The 22319-nt window shown below is 37.5% G+C and overlaps 1 protein-coding gene across 10 annotated transcripts in view, besides 1 other annotated feature; it reads left to right on the top strand.

Annotated features, from left to right (window-relative positions):
* Positions 1–22319, top strand: part of LIN54 (lin-54 DREAM MuvB core complex component) — an 88339-nt gene that overhangs the window by 45536 nt on the left and 20484 nt on the right. For 9 of the 10 annotated variants that reach the window (NR_110254.2, NM_001115007.3, XM_017007728.2 and 6 more), the window contains 1 exon segment: positions 20932–21148. The exons of the other annotated variant lie outside the window; for it this stretch is intronic. Coding sequence is in view for 8 of the 9 variants with exons in the window: in NM_001115007.3 (NP_001108479.1) it covers positions 20932–21148 (217 nt within the window). In the remaining variant the exon portion in view is untranslated. 10 annotated transcript variants of the gene reach the window in all.
* Positions 619–822: a silencer, noted in NCBI's record as "fragment chr4:83887737-83887940 (GRCh37/hg19 assembly coordinates)". NCBI's record gives its function as "represses an EF-1alpha promoter that drives an FKBP-Casp9 reporter gene in an ReSE screen in K562 erythroleukemia cells {active_cell/tissue: K562}" and the evidence as "EXISTENCE:reporter gene assay evidence [ECO:0000049][PMID:32094911]".

Below are 22319 nucleotides of genomic sequence, written 5' to 3'. Positions count from 1 at the left end.
TCTTTCTTGCAGAATTTTCCAGGCTGGGACCAGTTTCTGTGTTCACATATTCTCTGAATAAACTCTTGAGGATATCTGTCAGGTTATCCCAGGAACTCTCGCTGCATTTAGTTCTGGTGGTTAAACCAAGATACAGCTAAGTTTCTTTTTTCCTTTTTTTTCTTTTTTCTTTTTTTTTTTTGAGATGGAGTCTTGCTCTGTCACCAGGCTGGAGTGCAGTGGCGCCATCTCGGCTCACTGCAACCTCCACCTCCTGGGTTCAAACAATTCTCCTGCCTCAGCGTCCCGAGTAGCTGGGATTACAGGCATGTGCCACCACCCAGCTAATTTTTCTATTTTTAGTAGAGATGGGTTTTCACCATGTCGTCCAGGAGGGTCTCGATCTCCTGACCTCATGATCTGCCTGCCTCGGCCTCCCAAAGTGCTGGGATTACAGACGTAACGGCTAAGCTTATTTATCTTAATAAGTTGATAGCCAAAAAAGATTCAGATGTCGGGGCTGGGTGTGGTGGCTCATGCCTGTAATCCCAGCACTTTGGTAGGTTGAGGTGGGCAGATCACCTGAGACAGGAGTTCGAGACCAGCCTGGCTAACATGGTGAAACCCTGTCTCTACTAAAAATACAAAAACTAGCTGGGCATGGTGGCACATCCTAGCCACTTGGAAGACTGAGGCAGGAGAATTGCTTGAACCGGGGAGGCGGAGGTTGCAATGAGCTGAGATTGTGCCACTGCACTCCAGCCTGGTTGACAGAATGAGACTGTCTCAAAAAGTAAACGAAACCAAAAAAACCTAAAGATTCAGATGTCAGTTTCTCCTTGCAGTTGTCACCTACTCTGTCTCAGAGGTGTTTTTTTTTGTTGGTTTTTTTTCCCCCCTCACTGAGATGTAAAGCCCTGGCATTCTCCATGTTTGCAAATTCTCTTCTATTTCTGTCTTTTTTTTTTTTTTAATAGGAGGTAGATGATAGGGATACCATCGTTTAGTAAGTCTGGCATGGATGTCCTTTTTAGAGTGTGCAGGAGTTTGTCATTTTTTGTTTAGCTTTGGGGCCTCACTTCAGCCAGATTCTGAGATAGCAGAAAATATCCCATCCTATCTCATACTAGAATATAGCAGTACTATAGGCTTGGGCAGAGAGATGTTTAGTTTTTGGACATTTTTGTCATTGAAGTACCCACAGATTATCTAGACGAGGATGTCCATTGTGAAACTGAATGTAGGCAGTCACTGAAACTATGGATATAGATGAAATCACCCAAGGAGCATCAGATTGTATGTAGAGCGAAAAGAAAAGCAGGACTGAACCATAAAATACTAAGTGTTAGTAGAAGAAAAGGAGCCAGTGGGAGAGAGTAAATGATAAGGGGGTTATTAGTAGAAACTAAACAAAATGTGAAGGGAAGATAATTTCAAAAAGGATACTAGGCCACAATTTCAAATGTCATAGAAAAGTCAATTACGAAAATGACTAAAAAGTGAGGATTTGCTGAAGATCTCCTTGTTTCTATTGATAGAGGCCAAAAGGAAAGCTGAAGCACTCACCCTTCCCTACCCACCAGCACTCAACAGTCTCACTGCTATCTGCCTTGAGTCTGCTGAGACTCCTCTCATTATTTATCTTTGTTGATACTGGGTAGCCTCAACCACCCCGACTGAGATCATCTTTCATCTCCCGCATCTAATCTCCTTAAAGCTCTTGCTATCTTCTGACCCCTTTTCCACCCATGCCTCTCTTGAAGTCCTTCCACTGTGCCTTTTCTGGAGTTCATAATCAAAATAATAATTCCCTAAATTCACAACCTTTTCATTGAATGTTCCTTTTATCTCCTTGCTGTAATGGATACCTGGGTCTCCCTGAGGACCCTGCTTCACCTGCAGACCTATTAAGTGATAGCTCTTTTTCTCCTTCAGCTCTTATGCCTCCAGGCCTGGAAGCCTAGGTGTTTCCCATGATTATTCTCATTACAATTTCAGACTGTTTTCACTCCCTCCTCCAGCTTTGAATCTAATGTTACTAGGTTTGTTGTTGGGAAATCAAGCATGGCTAGTGTTTTCTCAATTTACTTTATATTGTAATTGTCTCTTATTACAGGACAGATTTATTCTATTATATTTATTTTCTAAAGTAATCCTCGGTTTTCTTCAATATTTATTAGATATGCAACTAAGCATTAAACTAATAAAAATGTGATTCTGCTTGTTTTACTTTATTCTTGATTAGATTTTAGCAATGCTGTTATCTTTTACTTTAATGTGACTTTTGTAATCTTATTCTTAGACTCTTAGTATTATTTTTTACATGGCCCTTTTCAATTTCTCTCAGAAATACAAGAAATACAGCTTTCTTCAAAATTTTTCTTTAAAAAAAATTTATTTTTTCTTGAAGATGGAGTATTTTTTCTTGAAGACGGACTCTCACCTCTGTTGCCCATGCTGGAGTGCAGTGGCGCGATCTTGGCTCACTGCAACCTCTGCCTCCCGGGTTCAAGTGATTCTCCTGCCTCAGCTTCCCCAGTAGCTATGCCACCATGCCCGGCTAATTTATATATTTTTAGTAGACATGTAGTTTCGCCATGTTGGCTAGGCTGACCTCAAGTGATCTACCCAACTCAGCCTCCCAAAGTGCTGGGATGACAGGCATGAGCCACTGCACCGGCCTTTTAAATTTTTTTCTTTTTTTTCTTTTTTTTTGAGCAATAAAGCTTTTTAATCACCTGGGTTAAATTTTTTTTCATTCACTTAACAGCAAGCTCATCCTTAACAAAGTAGCTTAATAGCCAAAAATCTATCCATCTAATTTACAATAATAGAAAAAGAATTTTATGACAGTCTTAATACCTGCAGAAGAATCCTGATATCCAACCTCCATTTTGGTTGAAATACTTGAACCCACAAAAATAGAAGGACACTTTCATAATTTGAAAAGGGAGAAAAATATATCAAACTTTATGTAATGGTACAGTGTTGAACAAGGATTCCCACTTTCAATACTTGTTTAATTCTACTGCAGGTCTGAATTAATGCAATAAGGCAAGAAAAAAGAGTAAGTGGCTGGGGGGCATGGTGGCTTACACCTGTAATCCCAACACTTTGGGTGGCCGAGGCGGGAAGATCATTTGAGGTTAGGAGTTTGAGACCAGTCTGGCCAACATGGTGAAACCCCATCTCTACTAAAAATACAAAAATTACCCAGGTGTGGTGGCACACGCCTGTAGTCCCAGCTACTTGGGAGGCTGAGGCAGGAGAATTTCTTGAATCTGGGAGGTGGAGGTTGCAGTGAGCCAAGATTGTACCGCTGCACTTCAGCCTGGGCAACAGAGTGAGACTCCGTCTCAAAAAAAAAAAAGGAGGGAGGGAGGAATAAGTGTATAGAGGTTCAAAAGAAAGTTAAAAAATGTCATAATTCACATATTACATTATTATATACATAAAAAATTAAGGCATTTACTATGGAACTATTAGAATTAATGTATAAATTATAAATTTAGCAAAGTGATTATATAACATGGTCAATATAAAAATATTTTAAACCCTTTATATTTAATGTAATTGTTGATATGATTGGATTTAAATCTTGCACCTTACTAGTTTTCTCTTTGTCTCATCTTTATGTTCTTTCTTTAACTGTTTTCCTGCCCTTTTTTGGTTAATTGAAGTTTTTCATGATTCTATTTTATCTCCACGTTTGGCTTGTTATAAGTACAAAGATTTTTTTTTTTTTAGTGGTTGCTCTACAATCAAATATACATTTTGACTTATCACAGTCTACTTTCCAATTTATATTACTTAATGTAGGGTAAGAAACTTACAATAGAGTGTTTCCGATTTCTCCCTCCTGTTCTGTATGCTATTGTTGTTAAACATTTTATGTTTACATGTTATAAATTCCATAACCCATTTTACTGTTTTAGCTTTAGACAAAATTACCTTGTGAAGCAATTGAAAATAAGAAAAACAAGTCCTTTATTTGCTTTCATTTTAACCATATCCTATATACTTCCTTGCTTTGGGTAGGTCCAAATCTCAGGCTGGTGTCGAATTCATCTCTAAAGAACTTTTTAAAATGTTTCTTTTAATGAAAGACTACTGACAATAGATTCTCTCAGCTTTTGCTTGTTTGAAAAATTTGTATCTTGCCATTATTTTTAAAAGATATTTTCATTGGGTAAAGAATTGAGAGTTTTTCTGCGAGTACTTTAAAGATGTCATTTATTGCCTTCTGGATTGCATTGTTTCTGGCAAGAAGTATACTGTAATTTTTAATACTTTTTTCTATGTATATAATGTCTTTTTTTTTCCTGTTTTCAAGATTTTCTCTTTATATTTGGATTTCTGCGTTTGGACTATTGTGTGTCTAAATGTGCGTTGTGTGTTTTGTTGTTGCTCATTTCTTTTTTAAATATATATTCTGATTTGAAATCTTCTTGGATCTATGATTTGATGTCTTTTACTTTCAGAAAACTTGGGTCACTTTTCTTCAAATAGTTCTTAAACTTAACTTTGATCTTCTCATTTTAAGAGTTCAGTTTTAAAGATTTTAGTATATTTAATAGAGTTCCACAGCTCTTGGATGCTCAATTGTTTTTCTCCCTAGTTTTTTTTTTCTTTGTGTTTCAATTAATATAATTTTGATTGACATATCTTTAAATTTATTGATTATTTTCTCAGTTGTTTGGAGTCTACAAATATGCTTATTAAAGACTTCTTCATTTGTGATTTTTTTTTTAATTTCTAGCATTTTCATTTGGCCCTTTTTTTATTTATGCTATCTACTCATCTGTCAAGCTACCATTTGACTCTTAGAGTTCCCATCTCTCTGCTGAAATTCCTTTTATATTCATTATCTGTTGTCCGTCTTTTCTACTAGCTTGATTAATTAATCATAAAGTTCTTATATGATGGTTGTAACATCTGGATCATCTCTGAGTCTGGCTCTCATTTTATTACTAGAATGTCCGTCTGGATTTTAAGTTTAAAAATAAATTTTTTTAAGTTTATACCACTGCAGTAGAGAAACCATATTCTATTAAAAGTAGGTAACTTAGTGCAAAGAGTGAATCCAGGTCAGTGATTCATACCAAAACTGATTAGAAAAAGTTGAACTTTTAGAGCTGAAATTCAAGGGAATATAAAGGTCTGCTTTGGTTCTGTGGGATTGGGTCAAATAAATGAGGGTTAAGCCAGATGTAATGGCACACACTTGTAGTTCCAGCTACTTGGAAGGCTGGGGTGGGAAGATTGCTTGAGTCCAGGAGTTCAAGGCCAGCCTGGGCAACATAGCAAGACTCTATATCCAAAAAAAGAAATTAGGGTTAGGTTCCTAGAGAGCTCTTTCTTTCCCATTCGTAAAAGTCTTATGGTGGGTAAATACTCCTAAAATGTAAGGCCTGGTCATACTTTGTGTAATGTTGGATGAATAAATGTGTTTTTTCTTTTTTTTTTTTTTTGAGACAGAGTCTCACTCTGTTGCCCAGACTGGAGTGCAGTGGTGCCATCTTGGCTCACTGCAACCTCCGCCTCCAGGGTTCAAGCGATCCTCCTGCCTCAGCCTCCCAAGTAGCAGGGACTACAGGAATGTGCCACTACAGCCTGGCTAATTTTTTTGTATTTTTAGTAGAGACGGGGTATCACCATGTTGACCAGACTGGTCTCAAACTCCTGACCTCAGGTGATCCGCCCGCTTCAGCCTGTCAGTGCTGGGATTACAGGCGTGAGCCACCACGCCTGGCCTTCTTAATGTTTTCATGGTGAACAGAAATGCATCTTTAGAAAATCCTTCTTTTTACTTTTGAGAGTCTATGCAAATTATCCTGGACATCCTTACATATGCTTCATATTAGTTTTGCTCTCCTACCCAGTGGAGAACTCTTTTTTTTCAGCCTTTATTTTTGCAACAAATCTTTCCTGTTTGTCTGGCCTATGGTAGGTAATGAACCGTCACATAGCCATTTTGAATGAAGAATGTACTTGACTGCCATGTGAAGAATTTCAGGGCATAAGCTGTGTACAGAAGGTTAAGTAAAAATTTTTTACTTCTCTGATTTCTGTGACCAATATATCTTCTTGAACTCCTCCTACTTCTAGGTCTCGTAGCTTGAGTAGAATTCTTTGAAGCTTCTGTAATTCTAGATTCAACATTGGGCTGTAGTTGCATTATCATATATGTCTATCCATACTTCCATCTATTAATCATCTTTTGTTAAAATGTACTTCAAAGTAAGTTGCACATATTTAATACACTTCTCTCCAAATAGCCCATCAAGTATATCAACTAGACTTTACTATGTGTTCAAAGGAATTTTTTTTTTTAGGTTCAAAAGAAAAATTTTTTAAAAATTTATTTGAAACAGGATCTCACTCTGTCACCCAGGCTGGAGTGCAGTGGCGTGATCGTGGCTCACTGCAACCTTGACTTCCTGGTCTGAAGTGATCCTTCTGCCTCAGCCTCCTGAGTAGCTGGGAATACACGCACATGCCTCACACCCAGCTAATATTTGTATTTTTTGTAGAGATGGGTTTTTACCATGTTGCCCACGCTGGTCTTAAACTCCTGGGTTCAAGCGACCTACCTGCCTCAGCCTCCCAAAAGTGCTGGGATTACATGTATGAGCTACCACGCCTGGCTGGTAAAATTTACTTATACACTGAAATACACTAATCTTAAAGGTACCACGGGATGAATTCAGATAAAATGCATACATCTGTGTAAACCAAAACTTTATTAAGGCATAGACTGGGCACCAGGAGTTTGAGACCAGCCTGGGAACATGATGAGACCCCACCCCTGTACAAAAATAAAAACTTAGCCAGGTGTGGTGGTGTGGGCCTGTAGTCCTAGCTACTCGGGAGGCTGAAGCAGGAGGATGGTTTGAGCCCAGGAGGTTGAGGCTGCATTGAGCCACAATTGTACCACTTCACTCCAACCTGGGTGATGGAGTGAAACCTTGTCTCAAAAAAAAAAAGGACAATTGAGATGCAATGGCTCATACCTGTAGTCCCAACGCTTTGGGAGGCTGAGGTGGCAGGATTGTGAGAGGCCGAGACCATCTTAAGCAACATAGTGAGATCCCAACTCTACACACCGCTGGTGTGTGCCTGTAGTGTCCTAGCTACTCGTGAGTTTGAGGCAGGAGGATGGCTTGATCCCAGCAGTTTGAGGTTACAGTGAGCTCTGATCATGCCACTGTACTCTAGTCTGGATGACAGAGCAAGACTGTCTCAAAAAAAAGAAAGTGATTTCACCCAGGTAGTGAATAATTAAAAAACATTTTTCCTAACCATTTATGAATGTATCAGGATAAAAAAGGCACCTATCATTTGATATGTTTTGGTAAAAAAGCTTTTTTGATAAATTTCCTAGAAATTGAGAAAATGAATGACTGCAGATTATTATAGTTCAGATAGGTTTCAATCTTTATCTTCTGCCAAGTTGAAGGAAGACTTAAGTGAGTTCTCACATAATTAAGAATAATTTTTTCAACTTCTTAAAAATAATTTGTGATGGTAGAACATAATGTAATTTTTGGTATAAGACTCAGAAGGAATTAAAAATATTAATATATTATTACAATAAAAATCCTGTTCATACATACTTATCTGTGAGAACAATGTTTTTCAATGTTTATAATTGTGAAAAATAGGAATATAATTGTTGCTGAGTTCTTACTCTAGCTACATGTAATATCTGTGGACACAAGAAGTAATTTTTGTGTCATCATCTATCTAGTAAGAGATGCATTTCAATAAAATTTTTAATGTTGTAGTATATTTGTACAAATTGTTATTTCCATTGCTTTGGTTAATTGCATACAGTAATTGTATTGTTAACTCCATCAGATGAAATAATTTTGAGCAATGTTTTGTTTTTTGGTTTTGGGGTTTTTTTTGTTTTTGTTTTTGTTTTTTTCCAAGATTGGGTCTTGCTTTGTCACCTAGGCTGGAGTGCAGTGGTGTGATCATAGCTAATTATAGCCTCAGACTCCTGGATTGAAGCAATCCTCTTGCCTCAGCCTCCTGAATAGCTAGGGCAACAGGTATGCACCACCATGCCCAGCTAATTAAAAAAATTTTTTTTGGAATCTCGGTCATGTGATGTTGCCCAGGCTGGTCTCAAACTCTTGGCCTCTAGTATCCCTCCTCAACCTCCTGAGTTGCTGGGATTACAGACATGAGCCACCACCATCAGCTCTACAGCAATGTTTTAATGTTTTTAAATTTTCAATTTACGTCCTTTTTTTTGTTTCAGGGAAGTATGATAAAGGAATTTCAAGCATAAGAATGTTACATTAAGATAAAATTTTTAGATGAAATAGAATTCAAAGACAAGTTCACAGAAAAGGAAAAATACAAATTTCTGACTATTAGAGAATGGTTTATTTTATTTTTAAAAACATATTAAATAGGCTGGGCACAGTGGCTTATGCCTGTAATTCCAGCACTTTGGGAGGCTGAGGCAGAAGGATCACCTGAGATCGGGAGTTTGCGACCAGCCTGCCCAACACGGTGAAACCCCGTCTCTACTAAAAATACAAAATTAGCCAGGTGTAGTGGCACACGCTTGTTATCCCAGCTACTTGGGAGGCTGAGGCAGGAGAATCACTTGAACCCAGGAGGCGGAGTTTGCAGTGAGCCGAGATTGCGCCGCTGCCTTCCAGCACGGGCAGTGGAGCCAGAGCAAGACTCCATCTCAAAAATAATAATAATAATAAATAAATCAAAAATAAATTTAAAAAAATTAAAACCTAGTAAATAATAGTGGGCATCAAATCACTTATGTTGATTTGATTCTGTTGACTGCACTTTAAAAAGTAACGTAGCAGTTTTATTTTTAAATGCAAATATTTACAATAGGCCAGAAGTGACAATAGGCTGGAAATTACAGTTGGATAAGTGATATTTCCAGTCTCCCTGATGGTTATTGCCATTCCAGTGAGCTGGAAGGGGAAAAGACATGGAAAAGGAACAAACAGGAAGCTTTTATGAACCAGACCTGGAAGTATGCATATTGCATCCATTCATTTCACTAGCTAAAACTCAGTTGCATGGCCCTCCTTACTGTAAGGGAGACTAAGAAATATAATCTGGCTGTAACCCTAGGAAGCAGAAGAGAATATGGATTTTGGTTAGCAGCAAGCAGTCTGTAGAATAATCATCTGTATATATACATAATAATGCTACGTAAACACAGGTAAATTGTCATTAGTTGTACAGTGAACTGGGAGTCTGAACAATGATGAAGGCTTCTTGTTACAAAGAGACACTCTTCCATTTCGTAATTATCAGTGGCTATCAAGTATTTATTGAGGTCTCTGTGTGCCCTGTGCTTACGTTGAACAGCTTGCAATGGTTCAGCAGACAAAATAGAATGCAAGTAAAACAATGAGTGATGAGATAGGTGCTAAGTTGTGTAGTATAGACTAGGTGATATAAAAGTGCAGAGGAAAGAGGAAGAAAGAAGTCCTGGTATTCCTTCTTTAACCATACAACAAGTATTTACTGAGTGCTTACTATGTGGTAGGGGCATTTTCTGTGCTCTTTTTGGGGAATCAGTAGAGAGCAAAAATAGATACACAGACCCTAAAGTTTATAGGGGTGGGGGAAGGGAGTATGACAAATGAATCAAATAATTACACAAACATATAAACTTACAAAACCAAGAAAAGAAAGATAAATTATGTCATGAGATCCTACCTAAGGGGATTCAACTACAGTTGGGATGGTTAGAGAGGGCATCCTAAGCTAAGGTTTTCTATGGGTATGGTTTAGAATGGATGTCAGCCACAAGAGTGAAGGACTGGAGCTGAAACAGGTAAGTACACATGGGACAGGAAGATCACTACTCTGATTGGAAATATGAATCGGAAATATTGGAAATGCTTTGGAGGGAATGGAGAGAAAATAAACATAGGGTCAGATTAGGGCTAATCTTCAAAACGAAGAAAATTTAGGCTTAATTTTGTCATTAAATGGAGACTCTTGGGATGTTTCTGAGACAAGAGATTTAATAAAAACATGAAAGTAAAGTTTGCAAAATATTAGTTAGGCAATGTCTGTGTGGTGGATTCAAGCTTTATGAATCAATGTCTGTCAGAAATTGTGTGGTGGGCAGGTAGAGACTGGAATCATAAAGCTTACTTTCAGTGTGTTTTGCAAATATCCCGGCAGGAAGTGATGTGACCAGTGACAGTATTGCCAAGTTGAAAATGAGAACAGACTTGGGGAAATGGTTTCAGAAGTTGATTGCTTTTGCTTTTATCTGTGAAGCTCTTACATAATTGAATTGTGGTGGTAATGAATACAATTTGAAAAGGATGGGATCCATTTTCCCAATATATTGACCAATTATTGTAAGATTAGTAAGTGTTGTGGAATTGAGGTGACTACAAGTCATAGGTTCTATTGATTGTGTTACCCAAATTTTTATCTTATATATAGATCTTTATACCAGTACCCATTAGCCAGGATAAAGAAGTAGAAATGGCTGGGCATGGTGGCTCACACCTGTAATCTCAGCACTTTTTGGGAGACTGAGGTGGGAGAATCACTTGAGCTCAAGAGTTCGAGACCAGCCTGGGCAACATAGTGAGACCCTGTCTCTATGTTTTTTTAAGAAAAAGAAGAAAGACTCCTCCCACCCCTCCACCCCAAAGAAAAAAGAGGCAGAAAGAATAAATGAATGAGAAATTCTTTTTACTGTGTTATATAGATTGGTTTTGTTTTATGCATTTATATATTATGTTGATTGAATACCTGTGGGGTCCTGTTGCCTTTTTAAAAATTGTTATTTAAATGAAACGGTCTTATTCTGTCACCCAGGCAGGAGTGCAGTGGTGCGATCACAGCTCACTGCAGCCTTAACTTCCCAGGCTCAGGTGATTCTCCCACCTCAGCCTCCCAGGTAGTTTTACTGTGTTGCCCCAGGCTGGTCTTGAACTCCTGGGCTCAAATGATTTGTCTGCCTTGGACTTCCAGAGTGCTGGGATTACAGACATGAACCACCATGGCCAGCCCTTATTGCCATATTTTAAAAAACAGTCTTTTTTTTTTTTTAGTTGAGACGGGATTTCACCATGTTGGCCATGTTGGCCAGGCGAGACTAAGTCTCAAAAAATAAAAAATAAAAAACACTCTTACTATAGAAATTTAAAATATAGGTCGGGCATGGTGGCTCACGCCTGTAATCCCAGCACTTTGGGAGGCCAAGGCAGGTGGATCTCCTGAGATCAGGAGTTCAAGACCAGCCTGGCCAACATGGCAAAAACCCATTTCTACTAAAAATACTAAAAAATTTAGCCGCGCGTGGTAGCAGGTGCTACTTGGGAGGCAAGGCAGGAGAATCACTTGAACCCAGGAGGTGGAGGTTGCAGTGAGCTGAGATTGTGCCACTGCACTTCAGCCTGGGTGACAGAGCAAGACTCCATCTCAAAAAAATTTCAAATATATTAAAAGGTTGAAATAGCAATTAACCCCCATGTACCTTTCATCCAACTTTGGAATTATCAACTTGCCTATTTTTTGTCACCCTGCTTCTCATTTTTTAGGTTAATCATGTCATTTCATCTGTAGATGTGTCTTTATGTATAGAAAAGATAGGGACACTTTTGGGAAAAAAACTTACGCACAGTCTTTTAATTTTTTTTTTTTGTAATGAGATAGGGGTCTTGCTGTGTTGCCTAGGCTGGTCTTGAACTCCTGAGTTCAAGCGATCCTCCCACCTTGGCCTCCCAAAGTGCAGAGATTACAGGCATGAGCCACCATGCCTAGCTCCTTTAATGTTATTAAATACCTAGTTAGTGTTCACATTTCCCCAGTCATCATATTTTTTTCACTACGTTTGAATTGAGATCCAGTTCTATATGTCTGTCTTTATAAGTTTGGAAATGATTGATATTTCTCTTAGTTTTATGATCTCCTTTTTCTTGTTGCCTTTTACCATGTGTTTTGCAGATATTTTCTCTCAATCTATGGCTTGTCTGTTCATTATGTTATGTTATGTTATGTTATGTTATGTTATGTTATGTTATGTTATGTTATTTTTTTGAGATGGAGTCTCGCTCTGTTGCCCAGGCTGGAGTGCAGTGGCGCAATCTCGACTCATTGCAACCTCCACCTCCCAGGTTCAAGTGATTCTCTTGCGTCAGCTTCCTGAGCTGCTGGGATTACAAGTGGATGCCACCAAGCCCAGTTAATTTTTGTATTTTTAGTAGAGACGAGGTTTCAACATGTTGGCCAGGCTGGTCCTGACCTCAAGTGATCCGCCTCCTTCGGCCTCTCTAAGTGCTAGGATTACAGGCGTGAGCCACCGTACCCGGCCTGTTCATTCTTTTAACAGTGTATTTTTAAAAAATCATGTTCTTGAATCATATTAACAGTGGTTTTTGCAGAGCAGTTTTTAACTTTAATGAAGTTTAACTTACCAGTTTTTTCTTTCATGGATTGTCCTTTTGGTAGTGTATCTAAAAAGATAGAGCTAAACTCAAGGTTACCAAATGTTATCTTCTAGGAGTTGTATAGTTTTGCACTTTATGTTTAGGTCTGTGAGCCCTATGTGAAAGGTGTAAGGTCTGTGTCTAGATTCCTTTTTTTGCATGTGGACCTTCTGTTATACCAGCACCATTTGTTGAAAAAGACTATCCATTCTTCATTAAATTGCTTCTGGTGCTTTGTTAGAGGTCAGTTGATTGTGTTGGGTGTGGTCTGTTTTTATGTTCTCCTGTTAATTAGTCATTTTCAGTCTTTGCCAATTTAACTGATTAAAAAATGTCATATACCAGCCTGGCCAACATGGTGAAACCCCGTCTCTGTTAAAAATACAAAAATTAGCCGGGCATGGTGGTACGCACCTGTACTTCCTACTACTTGGCAGGCTGAAGTGGGAGAGTCACCTGAACTGGGGAGGCAGAGGTTGCAGTGAGCCAAGATCACACCACTGAACTCCAGCCTGGAAGACCCAGTGAGACTCCGTCTTAAAAATAAATAAATAAATAAATAAATAAATAAATAATCTCATATAAATTTGTATTTTTAAAAATTATTCATATCTGTCTTCTGGACTTATTTTCTGTGAACTCCATGCCTATTGCATTGTCTTTTTTCCCTTGTGGTCTTAAAAATGTCTGTGGTACATTAAGGAACTTATTTCTTTATTATTAATGTGGTTACAAATATTTTTCTCTGTGGTTTGTTCTATATAATGTTTTTCCTTGCAGAAATTTCACATTAAATAAGTCAAAATTTAGTCTCTTCATGTGTGAATTTTTAGTTTTTGAGTCACACTTGGATAAGTCTTCCTTACTCCAATATTTATCTATTTTGAAAATCATTTAATTTTATGTTATTTTTTTACATGTAACATTCCTTTAGTACAAATTAAGTACAGGAACAGATAGTTTTTTTTAACTTTATGAAATGGTTAAATTGGTATTTGATTCTATATCATTTTGATCCTGATTTTTTTTGTTTTTGAGACGGGGTCTTGCTCTGTCACCCAGGCTGGAGTGCAGTGGTGCGATCGTGGCTCACTGCAGCCTTCACCTCCCAGGCTGAGACAATCCTCCCACCTCAGGGCTAGGACTGTAGGCACATGCCACCATGCCTGCATAATTTTTTCAGTTTTTGTAGAGATGGGGTTTTGCCATGTTGCCCATGCTGGTCTTGAACTGCCTGGCTCAAGTGATCTGCTCACCTCGGCCTCTCACATTGCTGGGATTACAGATGTGAGCCATTGCATGCCAGGGCGATACTGACTGATTTTCATAACTTAGCTTGCAAAGTGGATATCTATTTTTCTTTATTTTTATTTTTTTAAAGACAGAGTCTTGCTATGTTGCCCAGGCTGGTCTTAAACACCTGGCCTTAAATGATCCTCCCATCTCAGCCTCCCAAGTAGCTGTGATTACAGGTGTGAGTCACTGTACCCAGCTATTTTTTCAATTTTTTAAAATTGTGGCAAAATATACGTAATATAGGATGTACCATCTTTTTAAATTATACAGTTCAGTGATATTAAGTACATTCATATTGTTCTGTAAGTATCACAACCATCCATCTCCAGAACTGTTTTCTTCTTGTGAAACTGAATTTCTATATCCTTTAAACAGTCACTCCCCGTTCCAGTCTTGCATGCTGGCACAAGCCTGTAATCCCCAGCACTTTGGGAAGCTGAGGTGGGAGGGTTGCTTGAGCCCACGAGTTCAAGATCAGCCTGGGCAACATGGTGAGACCCCCATCTCTATAAAAATTAAAAAATTAGCTGGGCGTAGTGATGCATGCCTGTAGGCCCACCTACAGGAGGCTGAGATGGGAGGATCCCTTGAGCCCAGAAAGTTGAGGCAGCAATCGCTGCCTCGCGAGTGCCTAAGCTATTGCACCACTGCTGTCCAGGCTGGGCCACAAAGCGACATCTTGTCTCTAAAGAAATTAAAAATAACCCTTCATCTTTTCTCTCCTTAGTCCCTGGAAGTCACTATTCTACTAATGTCTCCATAATTTTGACTATAATACTTCATATAAGTGTAAACATACAATATTTGTCTTTTTGTGATGGGCATATTTTACTTAGCATAAGGTCCTGAAGGTCCATTGGTGTTATAGCATATACATCAGAATACCCTTCCTTTTTAGGGCTGAATAATATTCCATTGGATATATATGCACTGTATTTTGATTAGGCATTCATCTGTCTGTGGACACTTGAGTTGTTTCCACCTTTTGGCTATTGTGAATAGTGCTGCTATGAACGTGAGTTTACAAATATCTCTTCAAGACCCTACTTTTAATTCTTTTGAATACAGTATGTACCCAAAAGTAGAATTGCTGGATCATATGGTAATTCTGTTCTTACTTTTTTGAGGACCTGTCATACTGTTTCCACAGTGTACTATTTTATATTCTCATCAACAGTGCATAAAGATTCCAGTTTCTCTACATCCTTACCAACAGTTGTTTTTGACAGTAGCCATCCTTATGGATGTGAGGTAGTATCTTATTGTAGTTTTGACTTGTATTTCCCTAATAATTAGTAATGCTGAGCACCATTTTATGTGCTTATTGGCCATTTCTATATCTTATTTGGAGAAAATTCTATCCAAGTTCTTTGCTCATTTTAAAATTGGATTGCTTATTTTTGTTATTACGTTTAGGAGTTCTCTGTATATTCTAAATGTTAATCACTTATCAATATACGATTTGCTAATGTTCTCTCCCATTCTATGGGTTGCCTTTTTACTCTGTTGATAGTGTTTTCTGATGCACAAAATTTAAAAATTTTTATGATATCCATTTCTCTATTTTTCTTTGATTGTCTGCACCTTTGGTGTTGTATCCAAGAAATCATTGCCAGACCCAGTGTTGTGAAGCTTTGCCCTGTTTTCTTCTAAGAGTTTTTTTTAGTTTTAGCTTTTACATTTTGGTCATGGATCTCTTTTGAGTTCATTTGTGTGTAATTTGTTAGGTAGGTGAGGGTCCAACTTCACTGTTTTGCACACGGATATTCAGTTTTCCCAGCACCATTTGTTGAAAAGTATGTATTTTCCCTGTTGAACTATCTCAGCACCCTTGTTGAAAATCGTTTGATCATAAATGGGATTTTTTTTTCCTTAGGGCTCTCTATTCTGTTCTATTAGTCTATATATTTTAATACCAGCTGTGGTTTTACTTTTTAGGTTAAATCTTAAATCCATTTGTAATTTGTTAAAAGGAATGAGGTATAGGGATCAGCTTTTTTCTTCAGATCATGTAGCTAATCCACATTATTATCATTCTCCATTGATTTGAGATGCCCACTTTTATAAACTTTTTTATATATGGATTTTTAAAAATGTATTCCTTTGATCTTTAGCACTCTGTTCCTAGGCTAATCCCATACTATTTTATTTTCCCTGTCTTGATAAATATGTTTTAATCCTTAGTAGGGCTGGTTTCTGGTCCTGATACCTTATAGTTTGTCTAATTTTGCTTCATATCATCATTGGACTCCTTCTGTGGCTGCTACCATGGATACTAATACACCACATATAAATTACTCATCCATGTCGCTATAACTCATAGCTATGAATAAAACATAAGTTGGATTAATATCCATGGAAAAATAGCAAATGAATGGCTTATACCTCTTTTGTAATATTTCACCAGTCAATACATCAGTGCTGAATGTTCTCGTGCATCTTAAGATTCACTGTCATTGGTCATGTAATACATTTAATATTTATCTTTTCTTACTTTATCATTTGTCTCTTTTAGCTTGAAAGTATTTTAAAGCTTGCAAATTTGTTTCCTGCTAGGTTTATTTATTTTAATAACCTACAATTTGGGGATCAGGGTAACGTAATCATAGCTTTTCCATGATGATAAGCTCTATAACCATTGTCACAAATTTTTAAAAACTATATTAATACGTATTTATACAAATTCAGTGTTTTTGGATATTGGTTAAGCTATATCTCTGTATTTTCTTATCTACATATCTACAAATACGTATCAAAATCACCAAGTAAAAGAGAATATTCATTTGTGAGGACAAAAGAAGAATGTTTTATTCCTCTTTTTCTTTTAGGTAAGTCTGCAATTTTAAGTAAGGACTTTTGGCATTTAGTAATAGGAAACTAATGATCCAAGAAATTATCTTAAATATATAATTATATTAATCTGTAAAAAGAAATGGCTTAGAAAATAGTACAAAAAGAAATGTCTTGCAAGTCTGTCCGCGTTTTTGAGGGCAGTCACTTATATATGTTAAACATAGCTATTTTGAATCTAAATTAAGATATTTGCTTTTTAGCCCAACTCTTAAAGATGTTATTCAGGAAATAGAGATAACTCCAAATGAAGATTTTTACTGAATGCACGTGAACTGTTTTATGTAATGGGTGTATTTTCAGAGAGATGTTCACATGTTGTTCTTTGCAGGCCACTGTAATTGAAGAAAGGGGCCAATTTGTGAATTCTCTCAAGCAATGAAATGTGTAAAATCCTTCTGTCTTTTTCAGTTTTTAAGTAGTAACTTATATGTTACTTAGTTTTTTAGATGCTAAGAAATGTGGTTTAATAAGTGGTTGCTAAGGGTTAGGGCTGGGGAGAGAGTGTTACTATAAAGCATAGTGCAAGGGAGATTGGGGTGATGGAAGAATTTTATATATCTTCATGGTGGTGTTGATTACATGAATCTCTACAAGTGATAACATTACATGGACTAACACGTCAAAAAAGTGTGCATGAAAACTGGTGAAATCGGAATATGATCTGTAGTTTAGTTAATAGTTTTGTGCTGGCTGGGCACTGTGGCTCACACCTGTAATCCCAGCACTTTGGGAGCATACTTTACAACTTGTAAAATAGTTAAAGACCAGCCTGGCCAACATGGCGAAACCTCATCTCTACTAAAAATATAAAAATTAGCCAGTTGTGGTGGCACACTCCTGTAATCCCAGCTACTTGGGAGGCTGAGGTAGGAGAATCGCTTGAACCTGGGAGGCAGAGGTTGCAGCAAGCCAAGATCATGCCACTGCACTCCAGCCTGGGTGACAGAGTGAGACTCCATCTGGAAAAAAAAAAAAAAAAAGCAAAAATAAATGGACTGCATTAAACAAAAAATATCCTGCACAGCAAAGGAAATGATAAAATGAAAAGGCAGCCTATGGATTGAGGAAAAGACATTTGCAAACCATATATCTGATAAGAGGTTAAAATCTACAATTTATAAAAAACTCAGGCTGGGTGCAGTGGCTAATGCCTGTAATCCCAGCACTTTGGGAAGCTGAGGGAGGCCGATCACTTGGGGTCAGGAGTTCAAGACCAGCCTGGCCAACATGGTGAAACCCCGTCTCTATTCAAAATACAAAAATTAGCTGGGCATGGTGGCGTGTGCCTGTATTCCCAGCTACTTGGGAGGCTGAGGCAGGAGAATCACATGAACTCAGGAGACAGAGGTTGCAATGAGTGGAGATGGCACCACTGCACTCTAGCTTGGGCAACCGAGTGAAACTCCATCTCAACAACAACAACAACAACAACAACAAAAGAACTCATACAGCTTAATAGTAGAAAAACAACCCAATTAAAAAATACGCAAAGTACCTGAATAGACATTTCTGCAAAGGTACAAAAATGGCCAACAGACATATGAAAATGTATTCAACATCATTAATCATCAGGGAAATGGAAAATGAGAGCCACTATGAGATGCCACTTCACACCCATTAGGATGGCTATTATCAAAAGTTAACATAATAAATGTTGGTGAGGATGTGCAGAAAACGGAACCCTTGTATATTGATTGTGGGAATGTAGATTGGTGCAGCCATTATGGAAAACAGTGTGGAGGTTTCTAAAGAAATTGAAAATAGAACTACCACATGACCCAGCAATCCCTCTTCTGGGAATATGTTCAGAAGAAATGAGATCACCACCTCCTGAGGATATCTGCACTTCCATGTTTATTATAGCACTATTCACAATAACCAGGATATGAAAACAACCTGTTGACAGATGAATGAGTAAAGAAACTGTAGTATATATATAAAATAAAATATTATTCAACCTTGAAAAATAAGATCCTGCCATTTGCCACAACATGGATGAATCTGGTGGGCATTATGCCAAGAGAAACAGAAAGAAAAATATTGTGTGATCTCACATATGTGGAATCTGGAAAAAAATGGTCAAATATACAGAGATAGAAGATAAAACTGGTTACTGGGTGGGGGTAGCAGAGGAACTAGGTGAGAGGATGTAAAATAATATGTAGGATGAACAAGTGTAGAAATCTAATATACAGTGTGAGGACTATAAGTAACAAAATTGTACAGTATTTGGGATTCCTGCTAAATGAGTAGATTTTAACTGCCCTTGCCACAAAAACAAACAAAATGGACAACTATGCAAGATGATGGATATATTGATTTGCTTCATTATACTAACATTTATGTATATTGGCTATATGTATCCCATACATCATGTGATATACCTTAAATATACACAATCAAATGTACTTTTAGAAGAGCAATAGAAAAATGTATACTAAACAAACTTAATTCAACCAACCCCTGTACTATGCCATGCCATAACTACCTCATAGTGTGGTTGTTAGATCAGATAATCTTCTATAGAATTTTTAGTACTGTCCTCCATGCATATTAAGTACCCAATAAATGTAACTATTATGTTTCAAGCACCTTGTTTCCTAATGTACTTAGTGTTTTTCCCCCATTTTGAGCGGATATAGTAAGGACTATCTATGTCTTTTGCACCATTGTATGTACTTGTCTCGTAGGTTGCTTGATTTTTCAGTAGCTTCCATATTTATACATTTAATCATTTTTCTTATGCTTTCTGTTTTCATTTAATTCACTGGTATGGCTGCTGTTATCTCTTATTTTGAATCTGGTTTTTGCTTATGATAATATGTGAATTATTTTATGCGGAAGTAATGTCTTTTATAATGTTTCTGAACTAAATGGCATTATTTTTGTTTTCTCCTGGACTTTTATGATAAAAGTATTTAGAATTCTTGTTTCATAAATTATTATCCATATAGTGAATACATATTTCCTCCATCATACATCAGTTGTCTTTTAGCATGAGAGCTTTTTATAGAGTAGGTGAGGATGTAATTATTTATAAAATAATACTATATATCTGGTTAGAGACTCTTTGATCCTTTGCATTGTATGACAGTGTGTTGTACATTGGTTAAACAGCAGTTAGGGACTTCTCAAAAGACTATTGTGTTCTGCTCTGCCTAAGATGTTTCATTTAGCTTTTGGGGAATTCCCATTGCCTTTTGTCAGACCAAAGAAAAGGATTAATATCAGTCTTTAATTTTAAAAATAATTAAATCATTTTAATCAATTAAAATGATTGTGGCTCCCACCTGTAATCCCTACCCTTTGGGAAGCTGAGGTAGGAGGATTGCTTGAGCCCAGGAGTTCAAGACCAGCCTGGGCAGCAAAGTGAGACCCTGTGTCTAACACACACACACACACACACACACACACACACACACACACACACAAATTAACTGGGCGTGGTACCTGTGGTCCTACGTGCTCAGGAGGCTGAGGCAGGAGGATGGCTTGAGCCCAGGAGGTCAAGGCTGCAGTGAGCCGTTATTGCACTACTGCACTCCAGCCTGGGTGACAGAATGAGACCCTGTCTTCAAAAAAAAAAAAAATATATATATATATATATATATATATATAAATTTTTTTTTGACTCAGGGAATACAAAACTAGTTTCCCTAGACAAACAAAATTGGTAATTTTGGACTGAATTTGGCCTCCTGCCCATATGCTAGTGGGTACTTTTATACCTAGGGAGTATTATGCCTTTCAGAATTTACTAAACTTAGTAAGGGTATCAGGTAGGCTTTTCTTTTGGGAAAAAGCAGCACTTTGGGGGGCTGAGGCAGGTGGATCACCTGAGGTCAGGAGTTCAAGACCAGTCTGACCAATATGGTGAAACCCTATATCTACTAAAAATACAAAACATACAGAACATGGGAATATAAAATTTGTTGTAGTTATTTTGGTGGGTAGCAATAATGCCAACCATCTATATCATCTTTTCTCTATATTGAATATGGGGCTTAATTCTGGGAATTTTAAAATAATTCTTTTCTTATAAATTTTACCTGATATTAACAAAGTTGTGTAAGTACTTGCAAATTAAGTAATAATTTCTTCATAGCAAGTCATCTGAAATGGACTACCAAGGAAGTTAACTACTAGAGATGGAAGGTAGAACTCATTAATTTTGGTTTTATTTCTGTATTTATTACCATTCTTTTCATTTCTCTTTGAACAGGTTGTTCCTTTCAGCAGCTTTTGATGCAATACAGGAGCATACTTTACAACTTGAGCAATGGTTATAAATTAAAAATAGTAGGAAAGTTACATCCCAGATTAATGACAGCCATGTTGTATTGTTTAATAGGCAGTGAAATCAACTGTGCAGACCATCACTGTTGGAGGAGTGAGCACATCACAGTTTAAGACAATTATTCCTCTGGCAACTGCTCCCAATGTCCAGCAGATTCAAGTGCCTGGAAGCAAGTTTCATTATGTCCGACTTGTTACTGCCACATCAGCCAGTAGCTCAACCCAGCCAGTTAGTCAGAATCCCAGTACAAACACTCAGCCTCTTCAGCAAGGTTAGTAACCATTTTTTAAAAACAGTAATTCATGCTTTTAACATGATTAAAGAACATTTGTCCATTTCTTGCTGAAATCCTGATGAAGAGTGGCATTTCAACTGAGTTTGAGCCAGTAACTGGTGCAGAAGGCAGTGAAATAGAATGATAGTTGCGCATAACTGTAGTATTCTTTCTGCTAGATGTTGGTACACAGTGTGGTATTATACCAGATAATAGTAATTATTTGTTAATTCGTGGTTAGCCATTTTATTGCTGGTTTTAAAACCTGCCATTTATGCCAGTGGGATACATTTAGATGGAACCGTATTATGTATTTTATTTGCTAAACTATAAAGCCCCTTGATAGGGTTTGGGTCAGTTGAAATGACAAATAGGCAAGGTGTAAGTAAGAAAGAACTTAATGTCACTTTCAGCTTTTACTTATTTTGAATCTATAATTGCTACTAAAAAGGTGATTAAAAGGCCAGGCACGGTGGCTCACACCTGTAATCCCAGCACTTTGGGAGGCTGAGGCAGGTGGATCACCTGAGGTCAGGAGTTCAAGACCAGCCTTAACAATATGGTGAAACCCTGTCTCAACTAAAAATACAAAAATTAGCCGGGTGTGGTGGTGTGTGCCTGTAGTCCCAGCTACTTGGGAGGCTGAGACTGGAGAATTGCTCGAACCTGGGAGATGGAGGTTGCAGTGAGCTGAGATCATGCCACTGCACACCAGCCTGGGCGACAGAGCGAGATTCCATCTCAAAAAAAAAAAGTGATTAAAATGTTTTATTTTGCTTAGTTGTATTTTCCCTAAAGGATATTCCTGTTTGTTGTCCTTCTATTTTCTATGTTTGTGTTTAACCCTTCTTACCACCTGATATACATCCATAGACACATAAATGACCTTTTTCATATTTAGCTACTTTTCTAAAAATTGAGGGATATGAAAGGATCGGGATAGTTTATAGTTTAGGGCTTACGTGTTTCCTTGTTTTATATTCTGACAATGTCAAGAAGCAGTTGATGGCAATTAAGTGATATATTGTTTATCGAAAGTAAATAGAAGAATTAAAGACTAGTTGGTTACTCTTTGATTTTTATTAAGAGATCAGAGGGTAGATCAGGCGCTGTGGCTCACTCCTGTAATCCCAGCACTTTGGGAGGCCAAGGATCATCTGAGGTCAGG

This window comes from Homo sapiens, chromosome 4 (genome assembly GCF_000001405.40).
Source record: "Homo sapiens chromosome 4, GRCh38.p14 Primary Assembly".
NCBI classification, from domain to species: domain Eukaryota; kingdom Metazoa; phylum Chordata; class Mammalia; order Primates; family Hominidae; genus Homo; species Homo sapiens.
This window is presented reverse-complemented; position numbering and strand designations above follow the sequence as displayed.